General features: G+C 43.8%; 1 long non-coding RNA gene across 2 annotated transcripts, besides 2 other annotated features; it reads left to right on the plus strand.

Annotated features, from left to right (window-relative positions):
* The first annotated feature begins 9,754 nt into the window (after positions 1–9,754).
* Positions 9,755–10,955, plus strand: LOC102723725 (uncharacterized). Of its 2 annotated transcripts, XR_943915.3 has the most exons (3): positions 9,755–9,926; positions 10,254–10,378; positions 10,882–10,955. It is a non-coding gene; the product is annotated as an uncharacterized LOC102723725 (long non-coding RNA). The 2 variants fall into 2 exon arrangements; XR_429367.4 differs by lacking the exon at positions 10,882–10,955 and having other exon boundaries at positions 10,254–10,693.
* Positions 12,804–13,526: an enhancer, noted in NCBI's record as "H3K4me1 hESC enhancer chr14:59218720-59219442 (GRCh37/hg19 assembly coordinates)". NCBI's record gives its function as "activates a minimal SCP1, AML or CMV promoter by ChIP-STARR-seq in naive H9 embryonic stem cells {active_cell/tissue: H9 hESC(naive)}" and the evidence as "EXISTENCE:reporter gene assay evidence [ECO:0000049][PMID:30033119]".
* Positions 13,573–13,867: an enhancer, noted in NCBI's record as "tiled region #9975; HepG2 Activating DNase matched - State 3:PromF". NCBI's record gives its function as "activates a minimal TATA promoter and a strong SV40 promoter by Sharpr-MPRA in HepG2 cells {active_cell/tissue: HepG2}" and the evidence as "EXISTENCE:reporter gene assay evidence [ECO:0000049][PMID:27701403]".

A 13,966-nucleotide genomic window follows, 5' to 3' on the forward strand; every position in this document is an offset into this window, starting at 1 on the left:
TTTACATCCAAAGCCATGAGTAGCATAAAAAACAGTCATTCTCTTCTGAGTTGCATATGCTTTAACAACAACAACAACAACAAAAGACAGGAAGAAAAGCTTCATCCAAGGCAGAAGTTCTGCTTAGACTCTAGTGGGCTCCTCCATTTCTCTCCAGTGTTTTGTCAGCTTGTGTTATAATAGAAACCTGAGCTTGCAGTGGGAAGAGTGGGTTGAATCTGATTTTTGCAAATTGGTAATTATCTTGGGAAAAGTTAACCAAGTTACCTGAGCCTTAGTTCTGTTCATCTGTAAAATTGAGGGTAGTAGTGACCTTGAAAGTGGTCATGAACATTTAATGAGAAGACACATAGAGTATGTGGGACATGCACTTATGCTAGTGGGTCCTCAGTAACTGCTTTTTGAGAGGAGATTCAGTAAATTTCAAGATGGCAGAGTCTGTGTCTTATCCCCTGGGTTTGTGTCCTGGGGTGAGGGGGCTGACATCTTCCTTAATATGTCTGTCTTGAAGGCTTACCCCTATTGCGTTAGTCTCTTACTAGATTGCTTTCACCTTCAACAACTGTTGCCTTCTGTTTCACTTCCCTGAATAGGTGTTATTCTCTCTCTGTGCTTTCATTGTTCACAGGCTACACATTCTGCAACTGTTGTCAATTACATGCTGAGATGTCCATGGTGAATCTGTTGACCTTTCAACGGGTGTTTTAATTTTAGGAGAGGATGGTGGGAAGAAGGCAGCGCTCAACACTGTGGATCAACAGTCTGGTTCCAAACACAGGCCAAACCTGCAAATGTGATCCACAGATGTGCATCCTTGGCATCCCCTGGTAGCTTGCAAGAAATGCAGATTCTCAGGTCCTACCCAGAACCCTTTGAATTGGAATCTGTATTCTAGCAAGATCCCTAGGTGATTTATATGCACATTAAAGTTTGAAAAGCACTGTTTTAGGGAAATAACTATTTCATAAGGTGGTTTTGAGGATTTAATGGGAATACATGTACAGAACACCTAATGCATGTAGATGTGTAATAGAGTGCTTAATAAATACTCCTGGCAAATCCCAAGAGAGAAGAAAGAGCCCTCTGTCTCCAGGGCCAATGATGTATAAAGCAGATAAAGAGAAAGGACAAACAACGCAGCACTCTTTAGAGTACTAAAAAAGGAGGTGTGTGTATGTGTTTTGTTTTGTTTTGCCAGAGGAAAGGAAAATACTAAAGGCAGAGGAAGGAATGAAAAAACTGGCAAGTAAGAGCGAGAAAATATGGAATGGAAAAACAAAGTACTTAGGAATGAAATACCTTGAGGTGGTGAAAGAAGAAATAAACAAGGGGTAAAGAGCTCTTAAAATGTACCAGTGCTGAAAATTTGGATGAGGGGAAAACTAGATTTCTCCAGATTGGCAAGGAGGTGTGAGTGTGTGATGTGTAAAGAGAGACAGCCAAACTCAAGTGATTTAGCATAAGTCTGGCTTAAAAAGTTTAATAGTCCTCGTGTAACATGGTAAGCTTGTATTTTGAATTTTCACTCAAGGACATCTTTGTTCAGAGGAGCAGCGTGGTTTGGTTTTGTGCCCGGGTGACTGGAAGGAGTGGGAGGCAGGTGGCCAAAATGGGGACTGTGGGGTTGTGTTGAGGTGTCAGCAAACAGGCAGGAGAAGTGCTGGCCCTCAACAACAGATTCTTTTTGGGGTTCCAGGTGACTGGGTGAGTTTACTGTTAATCACATCCACACAAATGGGTGGGAACAAAATCACAGCCCCTATTCTACATCATGTGGATGGGATGGTGCCAGCATGTGGGCTGTGTTAGGGACACAGTGGCTTTTTCTAGGAAGTGAGGGAAGGTCTCAGCATTAGAGAGTGGAAGGAGACATTCTAGCTCCCTTCTATCCCACCTCAGCCCATGCCAATGAAGCATTTCAAAGCAGGAGGGGGAAGAGGGAGAGTCTGGCAATACAGGGATGAGAGAGAGAGACAGAGAGACATAGAGTGAGAGCGAGAGCTCAGTAAGCTTACTTAACTTTTGTGAATCTCTACTTTTCATCTGCAAAATGGGCCCTGCCTCTCTAAGATGTCATGAGGTAAATTAGTGTCAGTTCTTTAGAAAACGTTCTAAGACAAATCTTAGCCTTCGACAAAGATGGGAACTTAGAAATCTTATAGAACCAAATCCCTTCCTTTCACAGGCAAGGAACTGAGACTGGGGCAGCCAAGAGTCTTGCAGATCTTGCTTAGGGACACAGAGTTCTTAATAACAGATCTCCAAGTGGAACCCAGGTTTCCCAGTTCCCAACCTAAAGCTTAAAACATTGGGAAGCTCGTTTTACCATTTTCTATGTTAAATTCAGGAGATGAAGGGACTTGCACTTTAATTTCTGGATCGTTGACTTTGTTGACCTTCACTGCTAGGGCAAAGATCTATGCTTAATGATAAGTGTTTTAACAGTGGGTGATTCTGAGTCTGACTTTTTATTTTGCTGAAAGGAATAGCCTTTACATTTTACTCAAATTTTAACTTTTGGCGTGGCTCATTTTTATTACCTTTGTAATTACAGTGAATTCAGCATGCTTCACTGTTGTGGAATTTGTTGGTGTCTTGGAAAGATCACAGATAGGCTTTGACATACACAAACCTGGCTCAAATCCTACCTCTGCCACTTATTTGCGCTCTAACAACTCTGGACAAGTTCCTTAATTGTTTGGAGCCAGTTTTCTTTATAATAGATTCTACCTATTATGTTATGGAGTTATATTAATTATGAAGTTGTTTGATAGTATTAGAAATAATGTTTAAAAGTGCTTAGAATTAGAAAAGCGTCTGGAATATAATCAGAGTTCAATAAATGGTAGCTATCCACATCAATAAATACTCATTAAGCACCCAACTGAACAAAATATGATGGTTGATTGGGAGCTCAGTCTCCCACAAATAAAATATTTGCCACATGTCTTCACTGATCTGCCATAGTGTCTACATTGGAGGTAGCAAAAGTAGTAATTTAATAGTCTATTATCCAACCCCATCCCAAAACTGAAGTTGAACCCCTGACTGCAGATAATTGTTGAAATACTCAAATAATATTTCCTGCAATGCCTTAGCTACCCTTCTTTCCCACATTCTTTTTTTAAAGCCTTTGTGAGTTTTATTTAAATGTCTGAGATGAGAATGAAGCATATATTTCTGTGTTTATTCAGTACATTTCCCACATACACGGTAGGTGCTGAATTCACACACGTGACCCTAGAATCTTTTTTGGGTTCATCAACTGGTGTAATATCAAAAGTGGCAATTCAACAGAATTTTAACCTATCAATGGGCCAAACACATATATGACACTTTTAGTCGAATAACAACCATTGTCTCTCCGTTCATCACTTCTCCTATATTTTGCTTTGTGATGCTGGGTATAAGGCTCTGAAATTTACATTTCTCCTTTACCAGCTGGCTCTGCATTAGGCTCTATGATACAGGTACTGGAGGAAGACTGTAAGGCATGAGGAAAAAGGAGGGGCTTGTTCCTGTTGCATTTTTTATTCTTGCCAGTGTTGCCACAAAAATGGTCCTTTAATCTATGCACCTACAAATGGTACCAGTAGCATTTAGTTACCATTTCCAGATTTTTCCCACACTCTGAGATATATTAGCACACATGGCAGGTACCTGTACTCAAGAGGTCTGATCTAAGCTCCTCAGGGTCCCTTTTCCAATCTCTTAGGGTATCAGCATAAGCTGGGCAACATTACCTTCTCAGTGGCACCTTTCCCCGCTAATATATGTACTACTAATACATAGCTTTAGTTTTACATAGTACATACTATGTACTATCACCCATATAAATTGTAGAATACGCTAATATAAGCAGGGCCTGTCTTCGGGTTGGGGGGTAAGGGAGGGTTAGCATTAGGAGAAATACCTAATGTAGATGACAGGTTGATGGGTGCAGCAAACCACCGTGGCACATGTATACCTATGTAACAAACCTGCATGTTATGCACATGTATCCCAGAACTTAAAGTATAATAATAATAATAATAATAATTTCAAAAAAGACACTGGCAGACTAAAAAGGCACAAGAGGAACACTGGAGCACCACAGGTGTGAAGATCTGAATGTTTCTCCCCACCACTCCCCCTCCCTGCCAAAATTCATGTTGAAATCCTAACCCCTGAGTTGAGAGTATTTGGAGATGAAGACTTTGCAAGGTGATTAGGTATTGAGGGCAAAGCCCTCATGAATGATGTTAGTGCCCTTATAAAAGAGACCTTGGAGAGATCCCTTGAGCCTTCTGCCATGTGAGGACACAGTGAGAAGACAGGCATCTGTGAAGACGTGGTCCCTCACCAGACACTGAATCTGCCAGTGCCGTGTCAGCCTTCATAGCTGTGAGAAATAAATATCTGTTGTTCATAAGCCGTCCGCTCTATGCTATTTTGTTATAGTAGCCCAAATAAATCCCACATTCTTTCAGATTGTCGTGGTTGCTTGCTTGCTTGCCTTGTGGCCGGCTCTCACACCAGCCTGGGGACTGCTCTCCCATCAGGAAGTTTTCCTTCCATGGAGGTCTCTTGTTTTTCCTGATGTAGGTAGGCTGGCAGTAAATTCTAGGAGATAGGGTAAATCTACAGAAGCAGCTGCTTTTACAAAGAAAAAGGGCAAAGGTGGTCTGCTTGCCTGCTTTTTATTTTTTAAAGAAAGGACAATTCGCTTTTATTATTTTGCACAAAGTAGATAGTTTGGGCTTCATTCACATTGTAAGTGGTAAAGGAGCTATTCATGTGGGACAACTGGGAAATGACTTTTTGTGACCACGATAGGAAGAGACATGCTAATGTGATATTGAGCAGGGTCTGGATTTCCGTTTTGGCCTGTGGTTGGTCTCCCTGTCCAGGGGGACACACAAATGCAGCTCTAGAATACTGCTGAACAGTAGCATTAATATTCAGTGGCAAACCTTGATCTGTTGGTCTTAGAATACTGGTGTGAAGAGGGATATAGAATAAATAATTAGAATGTAATCTAATATTAGTAGCTATGGCCTGGCTTCCTGTGAGCTGGATTTAGGGATGCTTCGATTCTTAATACCATCAACAAGCAATTGAAATATACACATACATCAGAAGCCGGGTCACAGCTGGTATGCCATTGGGGTATTTTCAGGAGAGGAAATAAAGGATTTAGATGGGGCAGAAATAAATAAGCCACATTTCCCCTTGTCTGTGTTGTGCCAGACTGGGAGACTGTATATTTGTGAAAGAATCCACTTCACTGTATATTTCTTAGTGTCTTAACATGCACAGAGGAAATACTGCCCATCCTTTTAACAAGTTTTATATCATTGCCTTCACAACTTAGGATGAAATGCCCTTCGACCCTCTAAGGCTGAATAAATGCCCCACTAACTCCAGGAGGTTAATGTATCAAGATAGATTCTCATCTGCTAATCTCAAGGCCAACAGACCCAATTTGGAGTTATTTTACCCATCCTCAAAAGCTTGATTTTAATAGACTGTTGAGAAAGAGGTGTTTAAATTTCAGCAGCAATTCCATTTATACCCTACATGACATTTAGGGCTTAAGGGAATAGAAGGAATTGCTTATGGGAGACATCAAGCAAAAAAAAAAAAAAAAAAAGATCCTGATTTTTCTCCACACTCAGAACAGTGTGAGGGGAGTGAATCTCAGGGTTTTGTTTCATTTGCACAACATCAGGCAGTCAGCACATGTGTGAAATAGAGAACGCAGGCTGGGTTGTGACTAGCACCCAGGGTGACTGATTTATGTTTAAATGGAGCAATAAAAACTGTGGTAATCATAAGGCAAGTCAGTAAGGATCCCCCCAAAAAGTTAGTTCTCAGACATCCTGTCTCAGAAGAAACGATCTGTCCTGCAGTGGTTTTCTGTTCAGGCGACTGTATCGATTGTACTGGTCTGCTGTATTTTAGTAAAACTTGTTGATCCATTACTCAAGCAGGTTGCTGCTAGCCTGGATTCATTTGTTCTTTTCCAGCCACATTCCACTGTTGCTTGCTTAGGGAGCTTTTGGAGAGCACACTCGGTGGGTGGTGAATCCTCAAAACTGCAAGAAGCCATCAATCTCTTACTTTCAGAAGGCTGGAGATACCCTCAAATTATTTTCTCTTCAACCATCAGATTTTTGGGAAGATAAGCCTGAGGACAGCTCTTCCTTATGTCATCCTGAGCTGATTTTAGCACCCTTGAGGCGTTGTGTGTGGGGGAAGTATGACAAAACAAACCTGAGTGGAGCTCACTGGGGTCTGGTTTCCCAGATGCTGCTTTGGGATATGCCATCCAAACACATGATTTGTGCACTGACAGAACAAATAAAAATGGCCCCTGGTGTAAAGTCTATTGTCTCTGTCAAGAGAACCCAAAAGCCTCCCTGCCCTTTTCTCCTTTGAGTAGGGCTATTGGTTTTGGCTAAGCAAAGATGAGGTTCCTTTATGGCAGGTGAGCTGAGTGTCCCATGGGGAGAAAAGGGGTTTTGCTGGGTAAGGCAAGAGTATAAGGAACCGTGGATATGTGGAAAGAATGCTAAGATGGAGAGGACAGAGCTGGTGGGCAGGCCTGCCCTCCTTATCCCATCCCCAAAGCGGGTGAAGGGATGGCCACACAGCAGAGCCTGGCTTATCCAAAGGCACCCAACGCTGTGTTAAGACTCTCAACCTGGCTCAACTGTGCCATTGCCTCACCTTCATGGCTGGGACATTGCTGCCTCGATGAGGCCTCACCAATGGGCTTAGGCAAGGCCCAGGCATTGTTAAGATAGCTCACCCGGAAGTGCTAAATCTGGCCAGTTCCTGAGGGTGCTTTTTTGTTCTAGTAAAGCCCCACGTTTGGGAATCACCATTTTGTTGGAAATCTCTCTCTCTTCTTTTTGCAGTTATGTCATGTGATAGTCATCTTGTATAGTTAGGGACCATCTAGCATTCACCTCATCACCTCGAAGAGGGGCAATGGGTCATGGCCAGAGGTGCAGACTCCTGTGGGTTTTTATAACAACATATCAATCCAATATAGGACTTGACCTTGGGGGCCACTGTGCCTGTGAATGGAGCCCTTGGAAGAGAATCAGAAAGATTGATAAGAACTTCTCCTGTCTCAAGGCTGGCTGGGAGAGAACACAGTCTGATTTGCTCCATTTGGCTCTAAGTGAAGCTTCCTCCAAGAAGTGGCTTGAAATATGTTTTATGCATGATAAATGACAAGGGCTTATATAGTTCCCGCAGAGGTTATTGTGTCATCTGAGTTTGCAGATGAAATTCCAGGAGGTAGTTGTCACTGCATTATCATGGCTTTTGTCCAAGAACTCCACAGCCCCAGCAGCTCTCTATGTTCATAGCACCTTGATGAGAAGGTAGCACATAGGAATGGCCTTATTCTGCAGAAAAAAAAAAAAAAAAAAAAAAGACAGAGACAGGAGTTCTTAGGACTAGGTAGCCTGGATTTGTGCCTATTTCTTGTTAATTGCAGACTTTTGGAAAGCTCACTTTCTTGACGAGGCCTTTTTGCTCCAAAATAGTATTACTCCTGGTCACATGGATTGCTAATGATGCTCATGTTGTTCACATGGGGATTGAGACATCTGAGGTTTCTGAACAGAAAGGGGGCTCCTAAATGGCAGAGACTAATTATATTAGTATTTCCCCCTCATTATAGAAGGGGAATTTCTATAGAGTGCAAGAATTTCTATTTGGGGCACTAAAATGGTACAAGAAATAGAGTCGGTTCAGTTGGTCATTACTCACACAGCAGTCAACAGACTAAACAGTCCTAAATCAGGCAACTGTTTTAGTAACGATAATTTTTGTTTTCCTTGAGTAATTTGAAAATGCTTAATAAAATGGAACTATTTCTTTCTAACCAATTCCCTCCATTCATCTGGAAGGGTGTTTGTGAGTTTACATCTCTGGGATGGGGATGAGCAGTGGGGAGGCCACGGGGAGCAGTGCTGTATGACCTGAAGGTGGGCGATGGGGATGAGCAGTGGGGAGGTCGTGGGGAGCAGTGCTGGGTGACCTGCAGGCGGGCAAGTCTTCTTCAGAGGAGGAACGTCACACCCACCGCCTGACTCCCTTCTGGGTTAGCTCACTCCACTCTTCTGTTAGGCTTTGCCAACCAGGCCAACCACAAGGATACATCCCTAGATCTTGGGTGGCCACCGTGGTTCAGAACATAGATACAGAACTAATTTTATTTGCTACAACAAGCAAGAAGGCTGAGGTTTATTGAGCAATAGCTGGGTTTTGTCAAACTTGCTTAAGGATTGCCTAAGACCAGCAAAATAAACATGATAAAGTTGAAGAATGACCAGTTTTCCACTCTGCTGTGTTTGGAGGCTGACGAAACTGTCATTGACAAAATTGCCCTGATGGGACTGTTTTTTGTTGTTGTTGTTGTTGGTTGGTTTTTTTTTTTAATCTGTGAAATACTTTCCTGAATGGTAACTCGATTTTATTGTGAGTAATGAGTTCTGAGTATACCAGGGAGAGAAACAGTGAGAAAGCCTCCTGCAGAGGTTTTTAGCCCTCTCTCCTTCTGCTACAAAGATGTTATTGTTACATTTATACCCAACACAAAGACTCAGGGAATATTTGTGGAGTAATCGCCTGTTTATTTGTTTTATATATTATTATCATTTGTCTATGTATGACCCTTTTAAAAGTTAATTAAGTGATACCGTAAGTCCCTGTGAAATCATCACCCACGCCAGAACTGGAACCGAATCAACTTACCTCAAGACCCAAGCACTCTTCTTTATTCTGTCTTCTTCTAATACCCTCAGAGGCATTCATTATTCATTGTTTTTGACTTATGACAATATATCATTCAGTTTTATTTATTTTAAAACTTTATATAAAGAGTGTAATGCTATACGAAGTTTCTTGGAATTTGCCTTTTTCACTTAATATGATACTAAAATTTTCTGTGTTGTTGAACACAGCTGTAGTTCATTTATTTTCACTGCTGCATAATCCTTCATTACATTGATATATGCCATTTATTTATTTATCCTACCATTGATAGGTATTTTGTCATTTCCAGTTTTTTAGTATTATGCTGTTCAATGCTATGAACTTTCTTCTGTTCCTCTCCAGGTATATATGTGTAACTATTACTCTTGAGTATATATCTAGGAATGGAATGCTGAGCTGAAGGGTATAAGCACAGTCAACTTCTTTTTTTTTTTTTTTGAGACGGAGTCTTGCTGTGTCACCCAGGCTGGAGTGCAGTGGCGTGATCTCAGCTCAATGCAAGGTCCGCCTCCTGGGTTCACCCCATTCTCCTGCTTCAGTCTCCTGAGTAGCTGGGACTACAGATGCCCGCCACCACGCCTGGCTAATTTTGTTTTTGTACTTTTAGTAGAGATGGGGTTTCACCGTGTTAGCCAAGATGGTCTTAATCTTCTGACCTTGTGATCCGCCCACCTCGGCCTCCCAAAGTGTTGGGATTACAGGCAGGAGCCACCGCACCTGGCCTCAACTTCTTTTTTAACTTATGAATTGTTTATTTCCGGAATTTTCCATTTAATATTTTTGAACCACAGCTGACTGAGGGTAAGTAAAACCATGAAAAGTGAAAGCATGGATAAGGTGGAACTACTGTGCATGTGTATGTGTGTGTGTGTATGTGTGTATAGATATATCTATATACATATATGTATATACTATATAAATGTATATATCTATGTATACTCATACGTGTTTATAGATATACATTCTGTGTAAACTAGACTATGCGTTCTTTAACACTTAGAAATGAAGCACGATCAACTTTAAAACATAATGCCAACTGGCTTCCAGGAGTTGCATTTTTGATTTAAGAACAAGTCTTGTTTAATTCTTTAACAGCATGCACCAGATCTGTCATTTCTGGAATCTTGTGCGAATTGTGTATCAACTTGAGGGTGAGTGCTCGTGGGTTGTTGTGGTGGGCAAATGAGGCTATGTGGAGAACTTAGCAATGTTTTCAAAGAGACCTTGCCACACAGATGCTTTCAGAATTTAAATGACTCAGAAAGTTGTTTACTTTTGGCCCAAAGCCAATGTCTTCTGGAGGTAGTGAGTGCTGCTTTGGATGGGTTGGGATCAGCAGAGCATCTACCACAGAAATTCTAACAAAATGAGGGTTGGACCTGTGATAAGGGCAGCGTCAGCAGCAAGGGCCTCTAGAGGCTTGGTCACCACAACTATAAATCTTTCATGTAGTCGAACTTCCTGCTTTCACTTCACAGGGCCACTCACGGACTTGTCATCTGCTCTCACCAGGACTTCAGAGGATCTCAATGCTGCTGTTCTCACAGCCTGACAGGGACAAAATAACAGGAAACTTGCAAATTTGTCTTTATTCTTGCTTATGGTATGGCTAGAAAATGTTTGAATTAATATGAGAAATATAAAGATCTATCATAACCTCCTTTTTTGTAGGTGGGGCTACTTTTCCTTCCTTAATAGTTACCCTTCTGCTGAGGCCCCCTATGGGAAACACCAATCTTTAAGGGACTTAATCCCTTTTTCCAAACTTCCCTGGGCCAGTGCCCAAATGGTCTATACATTGTCTGTTAAATCAAAGAAACCAGCTTTCTTGTTTTTCTCTATGGTTTCTTCCCATGCAATTGACATCTTACAGTGCAACATGGAAATTTGAAATAAAGGCACACCATTGCACATCTAAGTTGAGATCTAGAGACGGTGGTTTGGAGTGAAGTTCTAATTAATAGGAGAAATGGGATTGCTAACTTTGGCTTTTCCCAGGGATCCTTAAGGTCTGGGACAGATCCCCCATTGGTCTAGAGGAGTTAGGGTTAATTGTAGTCCTGCTTGGAGACAAAGGTACTAAAATGTGACTACTGGCTTTTTCAGCTATAAAATTGAAGAGTCTCTGCATGGTCTGTTCCAGGCATCTCCCTGAGCCAGCCCAAGGAACTGCCTTTAGGTCTCTTCCTTATCCCTTCTCTCTCTCACGCCTTCTTTTGTTCCCTGCCCTTCTTCCTGGCCTCTCTCTCTTACTTTCATTTCTTCTGGCAATTAGTGGACAAGCCAGAAGAAAACAATTAAGATGGTCATCAATTTGGGCAGTATTCTGTTCACACTTATTTGAGACTTGTTCTGTAGTATATGTGAACATACTCAGGACGTAAATGAAATAGAATAGTGAGCCAGAAAATTGTGATAAATAAAGGTGCTTCTACCCATATTTTGTTTACATTCTGGGTGGTGCATGAGATTAAAAGCTGTGAGACTTTGCAAATAGAATGAGGTAGATGACTAGTTTTTGCTGTGCATAAGGTCAACAATATCACCCAACAAATAGCCAGCTCCTTGCCACACTCCCTTCCTTCATTCTAGTCATCTATCTTACAAGCATAATTGAATTAGATCCTCATAAAAGTCTTACAAGGCACATACTACTGATGGTAGTGGAGGCCTGTCTGGAGCGGCTGCTGCCATGATGCTGGCTTCAGGGGGTGAGGCATGGCCAGGGCTGCACACTCCAAAGAGCCAGCAGGAGCCGGGAAAAGGCAGAAGCCCTGGCAGGGCAGGAACCTTGTGCTCCCTGGGAGCAGCTGCGGCCATCCAGCTGTGGCTGTGGACCTGGGCATCCCTGTGCTCTTGGGAGCTGGGATTGGGCAGGAGCCCTGCCCTTCTGGAGTGTAGCTGCAGCTGCCCAAGCCATGGCTACGGACCTGGGCGTCCCCTCTTGGGGGCCTGGGAAAGGCCCCCTCCCACCTGCAGGCTTGGAAGTGCCTGCTCCCACTACCTGGCCTCTCCCTGCTCCCTGCACCTACTCTGATCTTGGAGCAAAGTTGAGGTCGAGCCCAGGAGCTGTTGCAACCTGGTTGGGTGTGTGCACAATTGGGGCAGCACTGACGCTCCAGCCCCCTGCTGCCTTGGCTGCCTCTGGACTTTGGGCACTGGTAAGCATGGGAGGGAGCCTGAGTGGGGGCTAAGGGCGGCTCTGCATGGGCCTTTAGGTGTCCCTCAGCATGAATAGCCTGGGTGACAGCAGGAGGCAGACAGGCTCCTGGGTGGAAAGGAGTGGGTCCCTAGTGAAGCTCTACCTTCGAGCTGGGGAAGGCCTGAAGCCTGACGGCCAGGCTGCCGGCCCCACAGACCAGAGTGGGAACTTACGGTACTTTTTCCAGGCCCACCCATGGCCACCCACGGACCAATCAGTAGGCACTTCTTCCTCTCTGAAGTCCATAAAAACCCCAGACTCAGACAGACTCAAGGAGATGACAGGACAACCTGCCTGCAGAGAGGAGCTCCCCACTCCAGGGTCTCCTCTCTGTTGAGAACTGAACACTCATCGGGACGCCCTGCCTGTGGAGAGGAGCTACCCAATGCAGGTCTCCTCTGAGCTGTTCTGTCACTCAATAAAGCTCCTCTTTGCCTTGCTAACTGTCCACTTTTCCCTGTACCTCATTCTTCCTGGATGCAGGACAATAACTCAGGACTCACTGAATGGTGGGGCTGAAAGAGCTGTAACACAAACAAGGCTGAAACACACCCCTTGCTCACCACACTGTGGGTGACAAGGAGAGAAGAGAGAAGGAGAGAAGAGTTGCGGCCCTTCAGGGAGCCCAGACCTAGGATCTCCCCCAGCCAGGGCTGTGACACCCTCTTTGGGGCTCTGCGGTTCCTGGTGTCTTCAAGCTTCTGAGCACCACTGGATTCCCCAGTGCCAGCTATGGAAGCTGCTTATGGTACACCTGGGCTGGCACCTGGAGCTGTCTGCCCCACCCACCACCAGCATGCCTGGCTGTGCACAGTGGCCGGACCCCATGCTTGCTCACTCATATACCCCTTACCGCTCCACTCGCTCTTGGCAGGTATGAGATCCAGGCCAGTAGAGCGAGCTGAGTGCAGCCTGCCAGGCTAAGTGGGCAGTACAAGCCCAGCAGGCCTGAGGAAAACTTGGGCAAAGGTGCCATTGGCCCTGTGGCTTTCAGCTGGACAAGCAACACCTCAAGAATCCCGTGACATTACTATAGTGGCCATTTGACAGATGAGGAAACCATGGCTCAGAAAAGTTAAGTACCTTGCCCGAAGTTACCTATTTGGATAGAGAAGGAGGTATATTAACCTCAACTGAAAGCCTGGCTTGGCTAAGGTCCCTCTGAATGGCTTGCTGTTATTAGAATTAGCGGGAACGGGGGCCTAGTACTAGCTGATGGAGAAGAGGCTCATACTAAACTGAGGATCCTTTGAGCTACAAAAAGCTGGGCACGTGAGCTATAGTCATTGCCATTGGCAGCTGGAGTCCATCCCGATCCCAAGGCTGGGACTCAAGCCACAAATGACCTGCTTCAAAGTATTTCTTAATTCAAATTAGGAATACTTTCATTCAGTCCATAAACAAGTCCATTAAATTATGAGTGTGGCTGTTCCATCTAAACAATCAGAAGTAATGCCTCTCACACTAAAGCACCTACTGCATTTTGAGGAATGAAAAATTTGCCTCTTAGCTAAATATATGACAGAATGTGATGTTTTAATGAAAACCTTGGTACAATTATTGTGAATCCAGTCCTTATCCTGAGCTCAGAATATGGCCCAAACTCTTTTCGGTTCTATTCATACTTTCAGCTAAGTGTCAGGATTCAGGGCATGCCCATAGCAAAGGCTGGGCTCAGTCACAGCAACAATAGAAAACGCAGTTCCAAGCAAAAGGCAGGAGCAGGCGTGTTGCTGGCAGACAGCCGACTTGGCAGGCAGTGGCGGGGCACCTTCCGGGAACTTTGCTCAACAGTCCAAGTGACCCCGAGAGTCCTATGAGAGAAGCTCAGAAAATCAGAAGCAGAGGGTCACATTTGATCAGTCCACAGTGTCTTCTGAGGAAAGGCCATCACATGTTTTACGGGGAGGCTGGCACCCATGTTACCAGTTCCTGTTTTTCTGTTAAATGTTACTGTTTAACAGAATAACCTTCCTGGTGCTGACTTGA

Source organism: Homo sapiens, chromosome 14, assembly GCF_000001405.40.
Source record: "Homo sapiens chromosome 14, GRCh38.p14 Primary Assembly".
Classification (NCBI taxonomy): Eukaryota; Metazoa; Chordata; class Mammalia; order Primates; family Hominidae; genus Homo; species Homo sapiens.